This window comes from Homo sapiens, chromosome X (assembly GCF_000001405.40).
Source record: "Homo sapiens chromosome X, GRCh38.p14 Primary Assembly".
Taxonomy (NCBI): Eukaryota; Metazoa; Chordata; class Mammalia; order Primates; family Hominidae; genus Homo; species Homo sapiens.
In genome coordinates, this window is record NC_000023.11 from 114,024,691 (window position 1) to 114,044,441 (window position 19,751).

A 19,751-nucleotide genomic window follows, 5' to 3' on the forward strand; every position below is an offset into this window, starting at 1 on the left:
TTCAAAATACTTAGAATATGAAGAATCAGAGAAAAAATTATCAATTTCAAAAAAAGGAAAATTAATGGAAACCAACCTCAAGATTTTGTAACTATGTAATAACTATAAAACCCTAAGATTTTATAACACAGCTTTTATAACTATGATCAGGGATATAAAGAAAATACGCTTGTTATGAATGAAAGGAAATCTTAGCAGAAATATAGAAACTATAAAATGAACAAAGAGGAACTTCTACTTTAAAAAGTAGCTTAAATAAAATAAATTGTTTAATAGGGTTAACAGCAAAATGGAAACATCAAAGGGAAAAAAAGGCAAGGAATTTGAAGATAGATAAATAGAAATTATCCTGTTTGAAAAACGGGAAAAAAGATGATTGAAAAAAAATGAGCAGAGACTTAATACACGTATAATTTGAATTCCATAAAAAGACAAGAGAAAATGGAAGAAAAAAAGATATTTTAAAAGCTTTGTTTATGCAAAGGAGTAACTTTGATTTTAGATGCTTATTTAAATCTCCTTAAATTTAGCTGTTCTTGCAAATATTTGGGAAATCTGGTTTTTAAATGGTGATGTAAAGATAGAATTTTTTATTTTAACCTTCTGAAAATCACCCACAAATAAAAGGAGAATGAGGAAATAAAAAAGCAAATTCATTTTTTGATGAAATCACTGAACATCTGGAATCCTTAATCACAATTGACAAAGAACGGCTTCATATACATTTAAGGATAAACAGTGGCACAGGAAGACAGCAAGAGCGGATGCACATAACCATGGAACTTTCTTTTTTTAGACGGAGTTTTGCTCTATCACCCAGGCTGGTGTGCAGTGGCACGATATTGGCTCACTGCAATCTCCTCCTCCCAGGTTCAAGTGATTCTCTCGCCTCAGTCTCACGAGTAGCTAGGACTATAGGCGCTGGCCACTACACCCAGATAATTTTTTCCTTTTTTGGATTTTTGGTAGACACAGGGTTTCACCATTTTTGCCAGGCTGGTCTCAAACTCCTGACCTCAAGTGATCTGCCCGCCTTGGCCTCCCAAAGTGCTGGGATTACAGGCATGAGCCACCGCACACAGCCCCATGCCCATGGAACTCTGATGAAGCCCACAGATCATAGTTCTCCGAAATATGTAGCACATTCTCAAGGACAAAACTAACACTTATTTTTTATACAAAAACTATCCTGTGATTTGAATACATAGTTTGAAATTATGTTCTAGGTACATTTTAAATTACTTACCTTGAGGGTGCCTTTTGAGAAAACGTTGAAGAAAATAATATATTAGTGATTCTTTGGAGCTCACTTCTAATTTGAAGGGATTTAGTTCATTTTTTTCATTCCAATAAAAATGAAAATAGGCCGGGCACTGTGGTGCATGCCTGTAATCCCAGAACTTTGGGAGGCCGAGGCGGGTGGATCACTTGAGGCCAGGAGTTCAAGACCAGCCTGGCTAACATGGCAAAACCCCACCTCTATTTAAAAAATAATAATAATACAAATATTAGCTGGTCATGGTGGTGCATACCTGTAGTCCAAGCTACTCTGCAGGCTGAGGCAGGAGAATTTCTTGAACCCAGGAGGTGGAGGTTGCAGTGAGATGAGATCGCGCCACTGCATTCCAGCCTGGGTGACAGAGCAAGACTCCCTCTCAAGAAAAAAAAAAAGAAGAAATAAAAGAAAAGAAATTTTAAAATTCTAAACTCATTGATGTAGATCTACACTACCTCCAGATGGTCACTAAGGAGATCAATTTTCTCAGTTATAGCAGTTTAAAATGTCATCTTATTAGAATACAATACAAAAAAGTTCCCTTACCAGATTATCAATTAGCTGACTTGGGAAAATAATAAGTGTTCTCTATTTCCTCTATAAAGCATTCTAACTGATGCCCAGCACAGGCTAGATACTCACTGCTAGTTGGCTGTACTCATTACCTTCACAGGCTTCTCCTTCCACCATATGAATTTGATGCTTACCAAGAGTCTGTTGAGTTTATTCCAAAACTTATTTATGCCAGTTAATGTGTTATGCCAGTATTTATGCCAGTTAATTATACATGTTAATGTGTTAAGTAATTTAAGGCAATATTGCGTAAAATGATAAGATATGAATGCAAAATCAGAGTTGTTCTTTCCATAAAAACTAATTTGAATGCTTTGAAAAATATTACTAAAAGTACATCTTTAAACATTGCCTTTGAATTTGGTGTAGATGAGAATTGCAAATATAAGGAAAATTTATTAACATCTTAAAAATTTCTAAACTCAGACTGCTTGCCAATTTTCTTTAAGTCCCCTATTCACTTTAAATACACTCAAATTGTAAAAAATAAATTATTTGATTTATATATTATATTTTTTTGAATAGTTTTTTGAATTATTTGAATTAATTTTTTTGAATTATATTCATGTAAGAATAATGTGAAACACAAATGATTGATTTATATACTCAAAGGAAAAGCCCTATGTTAAAAAGAAAAGCCAAATATATATTTAATATTTTAAACATTTATGGCACAGTCCATCATTTTTATGTTTCCTCAATTTTGCTTACTTAAAAGAAAAACAGAAACCAAGAAACTACTACCATGACATAGGAGACAAAAAGAAAGATTTATCAATGCCCTTTGATGTGTTATTAGCCATAAAGCTACTGTTACCAGACAGAATTCTGGAGAAGAACTATTGTATTATCCATATCCCCCATTCAATACTATTTTAATAACATAAAATATGTGCTTTTCAAAATGGAGAAGTCATGTGAATAAATATAATTTTCAATTATCATTGTCCAACTCCACTTTTCTCCTATCAGCATTTTATTATTATAATTTAATTTGGCATGATGATAATAGTAAACAGCTTGTGTAGAAAGCTTTATAATCATCATCATGATAGCTAGCATTTATAGAGCCTTTACTATACGCCAGGCACCTTGCTAAGTACTTTATAGGAATAAGCGCCTTTAATTTTCGCAACTCTCAAACTAACTTTCAATTGAAAGTTATTGAAACGAAAAAAACTGTCATTGAATAGCCTATAAGGCCTACTTTTGTATCAATATATATAATAATGAGTCATCTCAGTACCTATTTCCTGAGTAAGTAATCCAGTATAATATAAATATCCTGCTGTTTGGGGAAGAAAACAATGCAAAGTAATGAACGTTCTTAGGCTTAAAAAAGTAAGCACATTCCAAAGAGTAGTATCTATCTTCTTTAATCGAATGCATGGAATAACCAAATTTAAGACCAAAGATAAAATTAAGGAAATGTATTTCACCAAAGGATAATTATAGTTCTATTACCAATTCATTAATTCATATTGATTCACATATTATTCCTACTTATTATGTAATTTATTTTAAGAATATGTGGTAAAATTTACAATCTTACAAGATCTAGTTCCCAAAAGTTATAGAACATTCCATTCATTGTATTGGGTTAATTTCTACTGAAATCAGGCCTTTCCCCTAAACATGTAAAACTACTTTCTCAAATTTTCTTGAACATTTAATCTGAACAAGCCCTTTATATACATACTTATTTAATCTTAAAAAAAACTGAAAGGGCAGGTAGACTATTCTTTCCAATTAAATCATAAGAAAATTGAATTTGGAAGAATTTAGGACACTTGCTGGGGAACACACAATTAATAAGTATGGGAGTCTAACATAATAGGACATTGAAAAGGACTTCCCTTGTTGTCTTGGGATTGTCCACTAGAACTCACAGCTAAAAAAAGATTTAAAAAATACTAAGGCACTACATATCTTATTCTAAAATGAGCTTCCAACGAGCTACCCAGACATGCATCCAGGTATCACATTGCAAGGTTTTCTAATTGGTGTCCCAACTCACCCATACCATAATCAACCAGTGCCCTACTACTTCACTCTGGTATATAAGGAGAGCACCAGGGAAGGTAGAGTGCTCATCAAAGTGATTCCTCTGCCTCCTTGTAATAGGAGGGAAGAGGCGTTTTTTTCCTCTTGAAACCATATAATGTGGTGTTCCAAGAGAAAATATTTATAAAATGTAGGATGCATGCATGTAAGACTAGAGAGACATTTTGTTCCCTGGCTAGATAATTGCTTAGGCAACAGGCTTGCTATTATGCCCCTTGTCAAAAGAAAAAAACTACAACAAATTTGGTTTAAAGATCAAACTGACTTTTACCTGCAATTTGAGAATCTGGTAACATCTCACTCTATAAAATAGAATGAGTGTTCCAATGAGCTGAGCAGAGGAGGTTGGCTTTATAGGCAGAAAAGGGCTGAAGAAGCAGAAACAGAACAAAAAGTGAGTTGGTCCTTTTGAAGTTACTGTCTTTACAGGTTAAAATAGAGGCGACTTTCTTATTATGTTGACTCTGGTTGACTAGACTCTCATTTTTCAGAAAAACTGGCCCGTTTCAAAGTTCAGTTTGATTAGCACTTAGCACAAGTGACTCCATTCTGGTTTGGTCTGGTCTGACTGGGACCTAGCACAGGAGGCTAATCCAAAACAATGGCTTCCCATAAACTTTGTTTCCCACCCTATACCTATCTGATCAGGAAAATAAAGAGAGACTTAAAGGAAGAAGGAAGAAATTAAAGAAGAGATGGCAGTGGAGCAGCCTGTACTTCCTACAGCTCAACACAGAAATAACACCTGAGTATGTATAGTTTAAGTGGTTATCAAGGACAGAAGCTGGCGTGGGTTCTTCAGTGAACCACTGTGTGAAGAATTTAATAGGCGATACAAGTGGTTGAGAACTGTGCAGCGGGGAAGTCCCAAGAGTCCTCAAAAATACTCATATGTGCACTCCATAAAAGAGTCAGCATTTGGGTGTCTATTACACAGAAGGCATAGAGAGCCAGTGTTTGATAGTCAGAAAATCAGCAACAACAACAATTGCTAAAATGCATATGTTGACATTTTAACCTTGTGCCCTTCTAAAAGAAACCTCAGGCTGGGTGTAGTGGCTCACGCCTGTAATCCCAATACTTTGGGAAGCTGAGGTGGGTGGATCACTTGACGTCAGGAGTTTAAGACCAGCCTGGCCAATGTGGTGAAGCCCCGTCTCTACTAAGAAAGATACAAAAATTAGCCAGGCCTGGTGGTGGGCACCTGTAATCTCAGCTACTTGGGAGAGGCGGAGGTTGCATTGAGCCAAGATCCCACCACTGCACTGCAGCCTGGGTGACAGAGAGAGACTCCGTCTCAAAAAAAAAAAAAAAAAAAAAAGAAACTTCAGAGAATTCCTTTTCTCCTTCCCCCATGTGAGGACACAGTAAGAAGGCAGTCTGCAGCCTAAAAGAAGGCACTCATCAGAACCTGATCATGCTGGCACCTTCATCTCATCTGGTCTGTGGTATGATGTTATTGCAGTCTAAATGAACTAAGACAACACCAAGTAGTCTGCAAAATGCTGTCAGTTAATTAAAGAGACAGTCTCCTCTCATGCCCCCTCCCCAAAACCTTCTTGTAGTCAGTAGGAGAGAAGAAGCAAAAACTGAGAAGAAAAAGGATATAGGCTCCTAGCAGAGTATTCCCTGTCTCCACTCTAGGCCTTGGAGCTCTATGAAATTAGATATGAGACTGAAGTTTGAAACTGGTCTAAGACATTTTTCTAACTGTGAATTATATTGCACACACAAATGTTTGTAAAATGTATCCATACATGATGGAAGATGACATCGTCATCAGCAAAAAGAAACAGTTTCAATTCTTCCTTTTCTGTAGCATGCCATTTAATTCTTTCTCTTGTCTAATTGCTCTGGCTAGGACTTCCAAAACTATGTTGAAAAGAAGTGATGAGATAAAGATAATTTTAAATCGAAAAAATTCAGTATATTGTTGGGAGCAAGCCCCCCAAAGTCTGGCCATAAACTGGCCCCAAAACTGGCCATAAATAAAATCTCTGCAGCACCGTAACATGTCCATAATGGTCCTAACGCCCAAGCTGGAAGGTTGTGGGTTTACGGGAATGAGGGCAAGGAACACCTGGCCCACCCAGGGCAGAAAACCACTTAAAGGCATTCTTAAGCCACAAACAATCAGCATGAGCGATCTGTGTCTTAAGGGTGTGTTCCTGCTGCAGCTAATTCGGCCCATCCCTTCGTTTCCCATAAGGGATACTTTTAGTTAATTTAACATCTATAGAAACAATGCTAATGACTGGTTTGCTGTTAATAAATATGTGGGTAAATCTCTGTTTGGGGCTCTCAGCTCTGAAGGCTGTGAGACCCCTGATTTCCCACTTCACACTCCTGTATTTCTGTGTATGTGTCTTTAATTCCTCTAGTGCAGTTGGGTTAGGTTCTCCCCGACCGAGCTGGTCTTGGCAGTATATGAAATATGTTGTCTTTTGGCTCAGAATTTGGTCTTGGTGGAAAATCTATGTGCACTTGAAAATAAAAATGTGTATTCTGAATTTTGGTTATACTGCCCCATGAGTATCAATTACATCAAATTGGTTAATAGCATTGCACAGATCTTACATCATTAGTGAAATTTGTTTCCACTTGTTCTTTCAGTTAAAGAGAGATGTGTGCAAATCTCCAGCTGTATTTTTTATATTTCTCTATTTCTCCTTTTATTTCTGTTGATTTTTACTTCATGAATTTTGAAGTTCTGTGATACAGGTTCATACATATTTAGAATTGTACCTCTTCCTGATTAATTATCCATTTATCATTATGATATTTCCTATTTATCCTTATTGAGGGCCTGTTAGTCTGTTCTTGCATTGCCATAAAGAAGTACCTGAGAGTGGGTAATTTATAAAGAAAAGAGGTTTACTTTTGCTCACGGTTCTGCAGGCTGTAGAGGAAGTGTGGTGCTGGTCTGTGCTCCTGGTGAGGGCCTCAGGAAGCTTCCAGTCATGACAGAAGGCAGAAGGGAAGCAGGCATGTCACATGGCAAGAGAGAGAGCAACAGAGAGAGGGAGAAGGTGCCAGGCTCTTTTAAACAACCAGATCTCTTGTGAACTAATAGAATGAGAACTCACTAAATACCATTAGGATGGCACCAAGCCATTCATGAGGGATTCGCCCCCATGACCCAAACACTTCCCACTGGGTCCACCTCTAACATTGGAGGTCACATTTCAACATGAGATTTGGAGGGGACAAAACATCTAAACCATGTCAGGGCCTAATTATGTTAAGCACTCTGCTAGTCAATTTATATGTATACTTTTCTTAGTATGTATGCCCAAATAAGCCAGGATCAGGGTGGGAAAGGAGTATAATTTCAGGCATAGCAAGCAGCAAGTTTACAGACAAGGCATGAATGAGATTGACCTTTTTGACAGAAGTGAGTAATTGTGAGAGGGGTTGATGGTGCTGTTGCAATTTGTTTTTTTCCCTTTTCCCTCTAAGCTCAGTAGCATACAGTATCACTCAGTCTTGTACTGCTGCCCTACCTTCTGGAGTATGTTTATAGCAATGTAAAAAGCAAATGCCTCTTTACCATGATAAAAATTCACATTACAGTCATTTCTAATCTCACTACCACTCCCAGACCACACAGGCGCTTTCCTGATCTCTGATAAGCAAGATCTTTTCCAAGTGGGTCCCAAATCTACCTCTTTGTTTTCTCTCAAAACTACTTTCTCCATGGGAAAAAAAAAAAAAAAATCTTGTCTTGGTGGATTCCTGGATCTAAACATAAACATATAAACTCACCCAAAAGGCAAACAACCTAATTAATAAATGTGCAAAGAATTTGAATAGCCATTTCTCCAAAGAAGATATATAAATGACCAACAAGCACATAAGACAATGAACATTATTAATTAGGGAAATGCAAATCAAAACCAAAATATGTACCACTTTCCACTCATTACTAGTGGCAGTAATAATAATAATTTCTTTTTTATCTATTTCACTCATTAGTAATGATTTTTTTTTTTTTTTTTTTTTTGAGACGGAGTTTCGCTCTTGTTGCCCAGGCTGGCTTGCAATGGTGCGTTCTTGGCTCACCGCAACCTCTGCCTCCCAGGTTCAAGTGATTCTCCTGCCTCAGCCTCCCGAGTAGCTGGGATTACAGGCATGTGCCACCAAGCCCAGCTAATTTTGTATTTTTAGTAGAGATGGGGTTTCTCCATGTTGGTCAGGCTGATGTCAAACTCCTGACCTCAGGTGATCTGCCTGCTTTGGCCTCCAAAGTGCTGGGATTACAGTTGTGAGCCACCACACCCAGCCTTCAAATTTTTCTTTTAATTATTTGAATCACCTTTTCTTTAATACTTGGGACACATTTTTAATGACTATTTAAAATCTTTCTCTACTTAATCCAACATATGGACCACTTTACAATTGTTTATTACTGATTGCTTTTTGCTTCACGATGGGTCATATTTTTCTGTTCCATTGTCTAGTATTTTTAATAGTATATTGACCTTTTGACTCACATGTTGTAATGATTTTGGATTCTTCTATCTTCCTCTGAAGAGTGTTGATTTTTTTTTTTTAATCCAGTAAGCAGTTCAATTACTGTCTAATTACCAGGAATTTGGATAGGCTTGGTATTTTCATTGTGTTAAGACAGATTTGTGAAAAATCTGAAGTGTTCTCAAAGCCCCTAAAACATGAAAAAATTCAACCTCCAAACTCTTCTCACCTAGGATTTTCTAAGGCCGTGGTTGTAGGCTTACTTAATGTGACTCTGTGTTAAGTCTTACTCCAGAGAAGGGGTCAGCAAACTGCGTGAGCCTGTTTTTCTATACTACTAAGCTAAGAATGAATTTATGTTTTTGAATGGTTCTTAAAAAGAAGGACTAGTAGCAGGAAGAGAACAAGAAAGAGGATGAGAAAGAAAAGTGAGAGAGCTATGTGTCCCACAAAGCCTAAAGTATTTATTACCTGGCCCTTTACTAAAGAACTTTGCCAATCCCTGCTCAAGAGCATGGTCCTCTTTCCTAAAGCACAACCTTTCTAGATGCCTCAGCTCGATTAGGGGTATCAGCATAGTGTTAAGCAGATCTTTCCTTTCTGACTCTGCCAGAACTCCAAAGTCCTCCAGCCCCAAAGGACCTCTACTACCACTGTGTTTTGTTCAGTCCCACTGCAGGCACACTATAAGCCGTAGGTAGTCTAATCCTTTGTATTTTCAGCCTACCTCTCACTCAGGGAAGCACAGGGGATGTTCACATAGACTCAGAGTCCACTTTTCACAGCACTTTCTTTGATGACCTACTTCACAGATTCTAGGGACTTCAGTTATTTTGAATTTGGATCTCTGTCCTTTTGTTCAGCTGGACTACCATGCTCTGCTTGAATTCCAGCTCTTACATGTACTTGGATAAAAGTGAATAGTTAAGAAGTGATAGTTAACCAACAACTCATTAAAGTCTTAAAATGACATTATATGCTTGATATTATTATCTCCATTTGACAGATGGAGCAACTGAGGCATGAAGAGTTTAAGCTACTTTCCGTAAGTCACAAAAACGTCTCTTTTATCAAAATATAGGAGATAATATATATGTGCAATATATAAAAGGCATTGCAGCAGATTTAGTTAAGGAAATTGATGGACATAGAACTTTCTTATATACCTAAAATTATCTCCATTCTAATTGTAGGAAAAAAGGAAAGCATCTTTTAAATTTCATGCAGTACTGTTCTGTAGACATTCTAAAATAGATAGGAAATTTTCAAAGTCTGAGACAATAAAGCATATTAACTTTTGCAGCATTTAATTACTGGAATAATCACTGTAATTATTTGAGTTAGCCAAATAGATTTTACATATCTAAATAAGTATATAAGGTACATACATAGAGCCACATCGAATATTTAATAAAGTGAAAGTTATGCAATTGCTCATTTTCAGAAAAATAATGGTGACTGACACATGAGTAGCAGAATAAGATTAGGAAAATATTTTAATTCTATGAAGAATTATATTGAAAAGACAAAATATGATATCCAGTAAATTTGGAATGGTTTGCTATTAAGTTGGTGCAAAAGTAATCACATTGTTTTGCCATTACTTTCAATGGCAAAAACCTCAATTACATTTGCACCAACCTAATATAGTCTAGAGAAAACACATCGATTGTATTCTCTTAGAAATACTATTACTATTTTACCAAAGTTCAAGATTTGAAATTCAGTTTGTTTTTATTACAGATAGTGAATGAGGCATTTTTATGGCTTTAAAGATAAATCTCTTGGTTGGATAATCACAAAATAGTGAATTCTTCTATATCTTTACTATTTTTAGCCTTGCTAGATCAAATATTTCTTTGAAAATCTGATAAGAACTATGTATTATCTCTCCCAGGAAAGAAATGTATAGATGGATATACATAATATTTTATGCACAATTTCAGGGCATTCACACACTCCATTAACCCCATTATGAAACTAAGAGCATATTAAAGAGCACTAGTTTAGTATAAATGTTAACAGGAGGAAAAGGGAAGCAAAAATGAAGCCCGCCATGAATGAGAAGGGTGTTTTGGTTTATTTAAACATGAGACCGAAAATTTTGCAAACAAATAGGAAATCTCTATCATGCAATATTTATTTTTCCTATGAGATTCCACACAAATAACTGTACTTAATTTACTTCTCATTACCCAGGGAGCAGGTGATGCTCTTGTTTTACAATGATAAATGTTTAACTGAAAATGAAGCGTGCTGTTTTAATAATCTGTTGGGGAAAAAAATCCACCATGTCCATCTATGCACATTTCTCACTGGGTATATAAAATTGCAAAGCTTTCATCACTCTCTACCTGGACCATTTCTTGGGGCTGCATTTGCACAAAGAAACTCTAAGGATGAGGAATCATCTCCTTCCAAACAAAGAGCACGCTCACTTCTGCTTTCTATAAAAGTGTTAACATTTCAAAGCTCAGTATTACTCTCCTGGAAAAAAAAAAAAATCCACTGCATATATAGGCATCTACCATGGGCCCTTTGGGTTGCCGTAGTGGGACATGGGTGGCATGGAGATCCTGTATGAATCAATATGAAGCTCTGAGGACTCCTTTTTCTGTGAGTAACAAAGTCCTTTGTCTCTGACCCAGGTCTTCTCTCATTCTGTCAGTTTACAAGTAGTGTAAAGTCTCAGCCTCTGTCTGCTGTTGTTGACACAAACTACCCCAAAACATGGTGGCTAAAGAATAACCCTTTCTTATAGCTAAGGTTTTTTTTTTTTTTAGTTAGGAATTCTCAAGTGCTTAACTGAGTGAATTATCTACTACACATGGTGTCAATTGGGGCCATTCAGTGGCATTCAGCTGATGGCTGAGCAAGTCTGGAGGATCCAAGACAGCTTCGTTCACTTGCCTGATGCCTTGGCAGTGACATCTAGAAGACTGCACTCTGGTAGGAATCTCTCTTCTGTGGTTCAAATGCATCTTCACATGATATTTACAGCAGTGTAATCATAAATAAGCAGATTCCTTACATAAGTAGAAAAGCAGGCCTTCAACAGTAGGTGTTCCTAGGAGTGCCCTCGACAAGATGATGAAAAAAAAAGCCCTAGACTCTTCTTGCCCCAAGGATACAATGATTCAACAGTAATACACAGATCAATTCTCTTTGTGGGAAATGCAGAAGATAGTTGAGAGGCTCCTGCACTGTGAGTGAGTGCAAAACCACCCACATTGAAACCAGTAGGAAAACTGGAGAAATTCTCACACCATATTCCTCACCCCTGTAAGGAAGTCTCAAGATCCACTCCTCCTCACAGAAAATTCAATTATCAACTATCCAAAGACTAGAGCATCCTTTTGAAAACTCAGTACATGAAAGCAAGCCTGAGAAACCCGTGTGGTCCACAGAACAGAATAAAAGCCAAATGCAAAAGATAGAAAGAATGATCTTACTCTGACCTTGATGCCCCACCCCTCCACAACCTCAAGTCAGTACAGTGTTGGACAGAGAGGATTTCCCTGGGCCCACAGTTTATACAGGGGAAAACAGAATGGGAGGCAGTCATCTGGCATCCCTAGCACTTTGATATGCTTCCCAGGAAGCTGATTTGTCTCACCTCACTGAAAACACTAGGGTAAACAGCACACTTAAACCACCCAAGATCAGGTAGAAACAGAGAAAAGAGCCAGAGATCGTGACCAGCACACAAATCTTGGTAGTACCTTCATGTTCCTGCCAACTGTGGCACCAGATCATAGACACTAGCCAACCTCATAGCCCACCTGCAAGGCTGAGCCGGTTTGGTTGCCTTCAGAAGCACAGTGGGAAGTTTAACCTAGTTTGAGTACCTAGATTACTAGTCTCCATACCCAGCCTCAGAGCCTACCCTAATGACCCCACCCAGGCAAAGAGACTCCCACCTCTGTTCATTTTGGAGAATTTAAAGGACTAGGCTGGCTTAACCTGCCAAGTCAAGCAGCAGCTCCACTCAGCCAATGAGCCCAACCAATGACCTTGCCCAGGAAGGAAGACTCCTACTTCTGCACATTTTGGGGAAAGAAAAAGGTTAGATCAACTTGACCTGGGAAGTCAAGCAGCAGATTCATTTAGCCAAAAAGTTCACTCAACAACCCTGTCCCGGAAGGTAGACTTCCACCTCCATGCATTCTGAAGAGGCAAGGGGGCTGGACCAGCTTGACTTGGGAGGTCAAACAGCCACTCGCCTCAGCCAAAAGCCCACCCCATGACTCCACACTGACAGGGAGGCAATCCTCAATCATGTGGCAGTTCTAAGGGGCATAGCCCTTGGTCTCACACATCTCAAACAGCATCTCTACTTAATCTTGGAGCCCAGCCTGCAGACCTGCCCAACTGTAGGTCCCAAATAGTGGAATTGCCCAGACAGGAAATACACGTTATGACCAGCCTGAGTAGAAGACATTGCTATACCCAGCTAGTATCTCCACCTGATAACAGAGCCCAGCCAGTGGTCCTACCGGACAGTGCAGCCCATCCAGCAGCCCCATTTGACATCAGAGTAAAGGCAGTGGCCCAGCCAACTGCATGGAAAAAACCAGTTTGTTCTTCTAGAATCACAGGCTAGACTAAACAGTGAAGGCCTATCTCTGCCAAAGACTATCTATAAGGGCCAGAAGAGGGGGCTGACTCCTCAAATACACAAACAACGATGAAAGGACACTGAGATTATGGAGAATCAAGGAATCATGACACCTCCAAAAAATATGAATAAATCTCTAATCATGGACTCCAGAAAAATGGAGATCTATAAAATGGTAAAAAAAAAAAAAATAAATAAATAAAAATTCAGATTGATACACATAAAGAAGTACAGTGAACTACAAAAATATGCGGAAAAAAATTTATTGAAATTTGGAAAATAGTACATGAAGTTTGACAAAGAAGTAGAAATAAAAAACCACCAGACAAAAATCCTAGAGATAATAAATAAAAGGAATGAACTAAAAAAGTTATGGAGAAAGCCTGAACAGGATACCACCAAGAGAACAATCCATTGCATCATAGGAGTTGTGGAAGGAAAAGAAAGAGAAAAGGGACCAGAAAACACATCTTAAAAAATAAAAGCTGAAAAATCCCAGAATTTCACTTCTGCCAGCTTCTATTAGTTATGTCAGTCAATGAAAAGGAAATTAGGCCCAAAATCTTAATGGTAGGAGTGTTGTAAGTTTCCAATTATTTCTAAACTGTGTTGAGGCTCAGAAAATGATATCCTAAAATATGGCACTTAATATGCTGAACTGAGGAAGCCTTAAGGTATCTCTGACCACTCCCTCCCCAACCTCCTGTTTCTCAGCCTTCTGTCTCTCCCAAAGCACAGAATGAGGCTTTACTCTGATATTCCCTCACCTGCCTTAAAACTGGACCCTTCAAAAAAAAAAAACCACAATTGCCTTCCTCTTGCTCACATCTCATTATCTATCTTAAGAAGGAAGACTGAGGAATGCAACCACAAGAACTGACTTTTTCTGCAAGATAATGTCTGCCTCTCTGGCTCATTCAAATTCTAAACGGAACCATTTACAAGTAAATTTATGTATCCTGGCTCTATTCATTCTCTTTAATGACTATTTACTACTCCTCAAAAGAATTGCCTACATTCCCCATTTCCCCTCTCTTCTATGAAAGGTATACAAGCAACTGTACCACATTGGGTTATTCGGTAATCATTCTCTCGCAATTTCTCCATGCTATGGATGTTAAGTTAATTTAGTATGACTTTTTTTTTCCTATTAATCTGTTTATTTTCAGCTACCCTTCAAAAGGCAGAGGGGAAGCTTTTCCTTGGCCCCATAATTTTTTTTTTCTGAGACTATCGCTTCAATTTCCAAGTCTATCTGAGCTTATTATTATAAAAATATTTGGCTATAGTCTTTCATACCTGAGATTATAAATATATCTTATTTATCTACCCTGGTGAAATAAGTTTGATGCCCTTAAAATTCCTTAATGCGGGATGGGCGCGGGGGCTCACGCCTGTAATCCCAGCACTTTGGGAGGCTGAGGCAGGCGGAGCATGAGGTCAGGAGATCAAGACCATCCTGGCTAACACAGTGAAACCCTGTCTCTACTAAAAATACAAAAAATTAGCCAGGCGTGGTGGCAGGCGCCTGTAGTCCCAGCTACTGAGGCAGGAGAATGGCATCAACCCGGGAGGTGGAGCTTGCCATGAGCCGAGATCACGCCACTGCACTCCAGCCTGGGGACAGAGCGAGACTCCGTCTCAAAATAAATAAATAAATAAATAAATAAATAAATAAATAAATAAATAAATAAAATTCCTTAATGCATTTAACTGGGGGCTCGTGATTGGAGGTTGAGAGAAATAAAATAAGTGTTTAATATTTAGTACCATTGTTTTAATATGAGTCATCTTGTCTTTATTAACTCTAGTCAGAAGTCTTTATTAACTCTAGTCAGAAGACATATTCTATTTGTACTGTTAATTAAGAAGAAATAATCTATTGTTAATTCAATCTAGCATTTCATTTTGTTTGGAGAACTTTAACTATCAAGTAAGCTTAGTGAAAATCTCCTTAATATGCAAAATAATCATGTAAGCATGGGGGATAAGCCTTGGTAGTTGAAATGGGATCTTTGCTGAGTTGTTTTTCTGTTTTCTGGGAATTACATTTTTCCACATTTAGGCCATCGATATATTTGAAAATAACACAGTAAATTATTTATTATTTCGAGAACAATTGTAGAGCTAATACACCTGTTGCAATTGGGTTGTTTTTGATTCAATGATAATGATTGTATTGCTTGATATATGGCTTACTTTCTTCTGACTCTCAATTGTATCAATCAGAGTTAATGGTAACAGTTTAAAAATGTCTAAACCCTTTGTTTTAAAATGTCTAAAGGTGTAAAATGTTATTAAATGATTTAAAATGCATTATCAGAGATGTAATCGGGAAAGACTATCAGTTTGTGCAATAAAATCAACGTGAAAACATTCCAAGATCTAGGACATAGCTGTCAGGCCTCTGAGCCCAAGCTAAGCCATCATATCCCCTGTGACCTGCACATACACATCCAGATGGCCGGTTCCTGCCTTAATTGATGACATTCCACCACAAAAGCAGTGAAAATGGCCTGTTCCTGCCTTAACTGATGACGTCACCTTGTGAAATTCCTTCTCCTGGCTCATCCTGGCTCAAAAGCTCCCCTACTGAGCACCCTGTGACCCCCACTCCTGCCCATCAGAGAACAACCCCCCTTTTTCCTTTACCTTCCTAAATCCTATAAAACGGCCCCACCCCATCTCCCTTCGCTCTCTTTTCAGACTCAGCCTGCCTGCACCCAGGTGAAATAAACAGCCTTGTTGCTCACACAAAGCCTGTTTGGTGGTCTCTTCACACGGACACGAGTGAAATTTGGTGCCGTGACTCGAATCGGGGGACCTCCCTTAGGAGATCAATCCCCTGTCCTCCTGCTCTTTGCTCCGTGAGAAAGATCCACCTACGACCTCAGGTCCTCAGACCGACCAGCCCAAGAAACATCTCACCAATTTCAAATCCAGTAAGCGGCCTCTTTTTACTCCCTTCTCCAACCTCCCTCACTATCCCTCAACCTCTTTCTCCTTTCAATCTTGGTGCCACCCTTCAATCTCTCCCTTCTCTTAATTTCAATTCCTTTCATTTTCTAGTAGAGACAAAGGAGACACGTTTTATCCATGGACTCAAAACTCTGGCACTGGTCACGGACTAGGGAAGGCAGCCTTCCCTTGGTGTTTAATCATTACAGGAACGCCTCTCTGATTATTTACTCAGGTTTCAGAGGTGTCAGACCACGCAAGGATGCCTGCCTTGGTACTTCACCCTTAGCGGCAAGTCCCGCTTTTATAAAGGAAAGGCAAGAACCCCTCAACCCCTTCTCCTTCACCCTTAGCGGCAAGTCCCGCTTTTCTGGAGGAGAGGCAAGAACCCTGACCTCTTATCCCTATGCCCCGATCCCTTATTTCTGCGCCCGGACCTCTTATCTCTGCGCCCTGATCCCTTATTTCCACGCCCCGACCTCTTATCTCTGCACCCCAACCCCTTCTCTGCTTTTCTGGAAGGCAAGAACCCCCCCCGCCGCCCCCCGACCCCTTCTCCGTGTCTCTACTCTCTTTTCTCTGGGCTTGCCTCCTTCACTATAGGCAAGCTTCCACCTCCATTCCTCCTTCTTCTCCCTTAGCCTATGTTCTTAAGAACTTAAAACCTCTTCAACTCTCACCTGACCTAAAATCTATGCGTCTTATTTTCTTCTGAAATGCCGCTTGACCCCAATACAAACTCAACAGTAGTTCCAAATAGCCAGAAAACGGCACTTTCAATTTTTCCATCCTACAATATCTAAATAATTCTTGTCGTAAAATAGGCAAATGGTTTGAGGTGCCTGACGTCCAGGCATTCTTTTACACATCAGGCCCTCCCTAGTCTCTGTTCCCAATACAACTTATCCCAAATCTTCCTTCTTTCCCTCCCGCCTGTCCCCTCAGTACCAACCCCAAGCGTCGTTAAGTCTTTCTAATCTTCCTTTTCTACAGACCTATCTGAACTCTCCCCTCCTCACCAGGCCGAGCTAAGTCCCAATTCTTACTCAGCCTCCGCTCCTCCACCCTATAATCCTTTTATCACCTCCCCTCCTCACACCTGGTCCGGCTTACAGTTTCGTTCTGTGACTAGCCCTCCCCCTCCTGCCCAGCAATTTACTCTTAAAAAGGTGGCTGGAGCTAAAGGCATAGTCAAGGTTAATGCTTCTTTTTCTTTATCCCAAATCAGAAGCGTTTAGGCTCTTTTTCATCAAATATAAAAACCCAGCCCAGTTCATGACTTGTTCGGCAGCAACCCTGAGACGCTTTACAGCCCTAGACCCTAAAAGGTCAAAAGGCCATCTTATTCTCAATATACATTTTATTACCCAATCTGCTCCCGACATTAAATAAAACTCCAAAAATTAAATTCCAGTCCTCAAACCCCACAACAGGATTTAATTAACCTCGCCTTCAAGGTGTACAATAATAGAAAAAAGTTGCAATTCCTTGCCTCCACTGTGAGACAAACCCCAGCCACATCTCCAGCACACAAGAACTTCCAAATGCCTAAACCACAGTGGCCAGGCGTTCCTCCAGAACCGCCTCCCCCAGGAGCTTGCTACAAGTGCCAGAAATCTGGCCACCAGGCCAAGGAATGCCCGCAGCCCAGGATTCCTCCTAAGCCGCGTCCCATCTGTGCAGGACCCCACTAGAAATCGGACTGTTCAACTCACCTGGCAGCCACTCCCAGAGCCCCTGGAACTCTGGCCCAAGGCTCTCTGACTGACTCCTTCCCAGATCTTCTCGGCTTAGCAGCTGAAGACTGACGCTGCCCGATCACCTCAGAAGCCCTGTAGACCATCACAGACGCCAAGCTTTAAGTAACTCTCACAGTGGAAGGTAAGTCCTTCCCCTTCTTAATCAATACGGAGGCTACCCACTCCACATTACCTTCTTTTCAAGGGCCTGTTTCCCTTGCCTCCATAACTGTTGCGGGTATTGACGGCCAGGCTTCTAAACCTCTTAAAACTCCCCAACTCTGCTGCCAACTTAGACAATACTCTTTTAAACACTCCTTTTAGTTATCCCCACCTGCCCAGTTCCCTTATTAGGCTGAGACACTTTAACTAAATTATCTGCTTCCCTGACTATTCCCGGACTACAGCTGCATCTCATTGCCGCCCTTCTTCCCAATCCAAAGCCTCCTTTGCATCCTCCTGTTGTATCCCCCCACCTTAACCCACAAGTATAAGATACCTCTACTCCCTCCTTAGTGACCGATCATGCACCCCTTACCATCTCATTGAAACCTAATCACCCTTACCTCGCTCAATGCCAATATCCCATCCCACAGCACGCTTTAAAAGGATTAAAGTCCGTTATCACTCGCCTGTTACAGCATGGCCTTTTAAAGCCTATAAACTCTTACAATTCCCCCATTTTACCTGTCCTAAAACCAGACAAGACTTACAAGTTAGTTCAAGATCTGTGCCTTATCAACCAAATTGTTTTGCCTATCCAGCCCGTGGTGCCAAACCCATATACTCTCCTATCCTCAATACCTCCCTCCACAATCCATTATTCTGTTCTAGATCTCAAACATGCTTTCTTTACTATTCCTTTGCACCCTTCATCCCAGCCTCTCTTCGCTTTCACTTAGACTGACTCTGACACCAATCAGGCTCAGCAAATTACCTGGGCTGTACTGCCGCAAAGCTTCACAGACAGCCCCCATTACTTCAGTCAAGCCCAAATTTCTTCCTCATCTGTTACCCATCTCAGCATAATTCTCGTAAAAACACATGTGCTCTCCCTGCTGATCGTGTCCGACTAATCTCCCAAACCTCAATCCCTTCTACAAAACAACAACTCCTTTCCTTCCTAGGCATAGTTAGATACTTTCGCCTTTAGATACCTAGTTTTACCATCCTAACAAAACCATTATATAAACTCACAAAAAGAAACCTAGCTAACCCCATAGATCCTAAATCCTTTCCCCACTCCTCTTTCCATTCCTTGAAGACAGCTTTAGAGACTGCCCCCACCCTAGCTCTCCCTGACTCATCCCAACCCTTTTCATTACACACAGCTGAAGTGCAAGGCTGTGCAGTCAGAATTCTTACACTAGGACCAAGATCATGTCCTGTAGCCTTTGTCCAAACAACTTGACTTTACTGTTTTAGGCTGGCCATCATGTCTCCATGCAGCAGCTGCTGCCGCCTTAATACTTTTAGAGGCTCTAAAAATCACAAACTATACTCAACTCACTCTCTACATTTCTCATAACTTCCAAAATCTATTTTCTTCCTCACACCTGACACATATACTTTCTGCTCCCCAGCTCCTTCAGCTATACTCACTCTTTGTTAAGTCTCCCACAATTACCATTGTTCCTGGCCCAGACTTCAGTCCAGCCTCCCACATTATTCCAGATACCACACCTGACCCTCATGACTGCATCTCTCTGATCCACCTGACGTTCACCCCATTTCCCCATATTTCCTCCTTTCCTGTTCCTCACCCTGATCACACTTAGTTTATTGATGGCGGTTCCACCAGGACTAATCGCCACACACCAGCAAAGGCAGGCTATGCTACAGTACAAGCCACTAGCCCACCTCTTAAAACCTCTCATTTCCTTTCCATCGTAGAAATCTATCCTCAAAGAAATAACTTCTCAGTGTTCCATCTGCTATTCTACTACTTCTGAAGGATTATTCAGGCCCCCTCCCTTCCCTAAACATCAAGCTCAAAGATTTGCCCCTGCCCAAGGCTGGCAAATTTGCTATTCTACTACTTCTCAAGGAT

General features: G+C 39.8%; 2 annotated features.

The window, feature by feature from the left end:
• Positions 13,440-14,267: an enhancer, noted in NCBI's record as "OCT4-NANOG-H3K27ac-H3K4me1 hESC enhancer chrX:113281309-113282134 (GRCh37/hg19 assembly coordinates)". NCBI's record gives its function as "activates a minimal SCP1, AML or CMV promoter by ChIP-STARR-seq in naive and primed H9 embryonic stem cells {active_cell/tissue: H9 hESC(naive and primed)}" and the evidence as "EXISTENCE:reporter gene assay evidence [ECO:0000049][PMID:30033119]".
• Positions 15,242-16,219: an enhancer, noted in NCBI's record as "OCT4-NANOG-H3K27ac-H3K4me1 hESC enhancer chrX:113283103-113284080 (GRCh37/hg19 assembly coordinates)". NCBI's record gives its function as "activates a minimal SCP1, AML or CMV promoter by ChIP-STARR-seq in primed H9 embryonic stem cells {active_cell/tissue: H9 hESC(primed)}" and the evidence as "EXISTENCE:reporter gene assay evidence [ECO:0000049][PMID:30033119]".